Below are 3,318 nucleotides of genomic sequence, written 5' to 3' on the forward strand. Positions count from 1 at the left end.
CCTGCCTGTGTTGTCTTTTGCTGAGGGAGAGGGGAAGCCTAGGGCCCTGCCCCGGGGATGAGGGAAAGGCTTGACCCCCAGAGAAGTGGGACAGTGGGGGTGAGGATGGCCAGAATAGGATGGCTTCGGTAAGAGCAGTTCTGCAGGCTGAGCCATTCTGGAAGAAGTTTTCAGGAAGGATCCGGCTAAGTGCTTCGTGTGGCCCTTAGTCACTGGAAACACTTGTGAATGGCCGTGGGTGTGTTAGAGTTTCCACTGGGTCCAGGCCCCACTCATTCCCCAGGTTCCTTCTGAGGAAGATGCTGCTTGTCTTCAAAGTGGCTTGAGAAAAACCAAGTGCAATACAGTAAAAGGCCTTACGTGGCATTGGCCAGGTCTAGTCACTTGCCCTGAATCAGCTGCTGAGGAAAAGCCCTGACCTCTTGGTAACTCGGATTTGCCCAGCTCATTTACAGCCTGCCAGACAGCTTTCCCAAATGCCAGGACTGATGAGGATCTTAAGAGATGAGCGACTATCATCTCTGTTTTGGAGATGGGAAACTGAAGTCCAGACTACTTTGAGAATGTCCAAGCTGGGATTTAGACCCAGCCCACGGCACATTCCTTGGTATTTAACAGGTATTTAGCGAGTGTTGGTAGGCACAGTGCTATGAGGGTCCTGCTCTGCTGCAGAGGGGCTTGGCAAGATCTCCCAGCACTTCAGGTTTCAGGAGAGGAAGTCCAGGGGCTGGGGATTGTGCATAATGAAGGGCTAGATACTGGCTTGAGAAGGAGCTTCTGCGGATTGTTTCTGTTTCATAACACTTACCGAGAGCTTCAATGCCAGGCACCATGCTAGGAACTGAGGATGCAGAAATAAGGAACCTTCCCGGAAACCCAGAGTGCACCTGGCTGAGTGGGAGACGCAGACATGTAAGCAGGTTTGATGTGGGGAGTTTCTCCAACAGAGGAGCAGCAGGTGTTCCCAGGGGCACCCAGCTCAATCTCGAGGGGTCGGTGCAGCCACCTGGCAGAGTGGAAGTGATGGAGCTGAATCTTAAAGGCTCAGCAGGACTTGAGACCACAGGGAAATGAGGCTGGGAGAGCAGGGGCCAGGCCTATAGTGCAGACCTGTTTCAGCTTGTGGAGGAGAGACAGCTTCTGGCTCCCGGGAGCAGTGCTACCTCAATAGATCCAACTTCCTTAAATTCTTTCCCTTAAAGGCTGGGCCAGAGAATGGCCCTCAGAAAGCAAGGGCTGTCATCCTCTGCTCCACCAAACCCTTCTTCCACATGTACTGTGGGCAGAGTTTGCAGCATTTGGTTCTCTTGGTTTTCGGGACCCATCCTCTCCCGATTTCCCTCCTGCATTACTGGTTCCTCCTCTTGAGAGGGGCCCAGGCTTCAGTCCTTAGTCCTCTATCCTCTGTTACACAGAAGCTCCAGTCCCTAGACTTCCTCTCTGCACGTACTCCTTTGAAGATCTCATCTAGGCTCGTGGCTTTAAATACCACCCGTATTAGGATTTTCCAGAGAAACATAGAAGGAGACTTTAAAAGTTTGTATTTTTTGAGATGGAGTCTTGCTCTGTCACCCAGGTTGGAGTGCAGTGGCGCGATCTCAGCTCCCTGCAGCCTCCGCCTCCCGGGTTCAAGCGATTCTCCTGCCTCAGCCTCCCAAGTAGCTGGGATTACAGGCATGTGCCACCACGCACAGCTAGTTTTTGTATTTTTAGTAGAGATGGGGTTTCGCCATGTTGGCCAGGCTGGTCTCGAACTCCTGGCCACAAGTGATCCACCTGCCTTGGCCTCCCAAAGTGCTGGGATTACAGGCATGAACCACCGTACCCAGCGAGACTTCTTACAAGATATTGTCTCCAGTGATTATGGAGGCCGAGAAGTCCCACGATCTGCTGCCTGCAAGCTGGAAACCCAAGAAAGCCAGTAAGGGGCCGATGGTGTAGATTCTGTCTGAGTCTGAAGGCCTGAGAACCTGGAGTGCTGAGAGAAGACAAATGTCCCAGCTCATGCAGTCAGACAGCGGGAGGGCGAGTCCAACCTTCCTCTTTTTGTTCTGTTCAGGCCCTTAAATGGATGAGGCCCACCCGCTTTACTCAGTCCACAGATTCAAATGCTAATCTCTTCCGGAACACAGACACACCCAGAAATACTATTTAATCAGATACCTGCTCGTCCTGTGGCCTAGTCAAGTTGACATATAAAATTAACCATCACACCACTCACATGCTGATGTCTCCCAGACGGATCTCTCCAGCCCTACTCCTGAGCTCCAGACTCACATATCTGACTTCCTACTCATTATCTCCATTTGAATACACAACAGGCATCTCAAAGCACATTCCTGATCTCACCAGCAGCCCCAAGCCTGCTCTTTTCGTGGTCTTCCCTATCTTAAAGAGCATCTTAAGAAAAACAAAGTATCTATTTAAAATATACAACTTGCTGATTTGATATACGTATATGTTGTGAAATAATCACCACAATCAAGCTAATTAAAATATCCATCACCTCACATAGTTATATGTGTGTGTGTCGGGCGGTGGGGCGTGGGGGTGAGAACACTTAGGATCTTAGAAAATTTCAAGTATATACGGTTGACCCTTGAGCAACATGGGTTTGAACTGTGTGGTCCACTTATACGCAGCTTTTTTTCAGTAAATACAATTCCTTCATATCCACATCCACATCTACAACCAAGGGCATATCAAAAATAGTGTTTGTGGGATGCGAAATCCACATATATGGAGGACTAACTTCTCCTAGAGGTGGGTTTCACAGGGCCCACCTCGAGACTTGAATATGTGTGGATTTTGATGTCTGTGGGGGTCCTGAAACAAATCCCAGGCAGATACCCAGGGATGACTATAGTACAGTATCATTGTCTATAGTCACCGTGCTATACATTAGATCTCCAGCACGCTTTCATCTTGCATAACTGAAACTTTGTGCCCCTTAACCAACAGCTCCCCGTCACCCACTACTCCCAGTCCTTAGCAACCTCCATTCTACTCTCTGATTTTGCAGGTTTGACTATTTTAGATTCTACATATAAATGAGATCATGCAATATTTCTCGCTCTGTGTCTGGCTTATTTCACAGGTCCATTCATGTTGTTGCAAATGGCAGAATTTCTTTTTTTTTTTTTTCTTTTCTGTTTTTTTTTTTTTGAGATGGAGTCTCGCTCTGTCACCCAGGCTGGAGTGCAGTGGTACGATCTCGGCTCACTGCAACCTCCACCTCCTGGGTTCAAGTGATTCTCCTGCCTCAGCCTCCTGAGTATCTGGGACTACAGGCACTCGTCATCATGCCCGGCTAATTTT

At 49.0% G+C, this 3,318-nt stretch overlaps 1 annotated feature.

Annotated features, from left to right (window-relative positions):
• Positions 1,914-2,611: an enhancer, noted in NCBI's record as "NANOG-H3K27ac-H3K4me1 hESC enhancer chr20:35947577-35948274 (GRCh37/hg19 assembly coordinates)". NCBI's record gives its function as "activates a minimal SCP1, AML or CMV promoter by ChIP-STARR-seq in naive H9 embryonic stem cells {active_cell/tissue: H9 hESC(naive)}" and the evidence as "EXISTENCE:reporter gene assay evidence [ECO:0000049][PMID:30033119]".

This window comes from Homo sapiens, chromosome 20 (assembly GCF_000001405.40).
Source record: "Homo sapiens chromosome 20, GRCh38.p14 Primary Assembly".
NCBI lineage: Eukaryota > Metazoa > Chordata > Mammalia > Primates > Hominidae > Homo > Homo sapiens.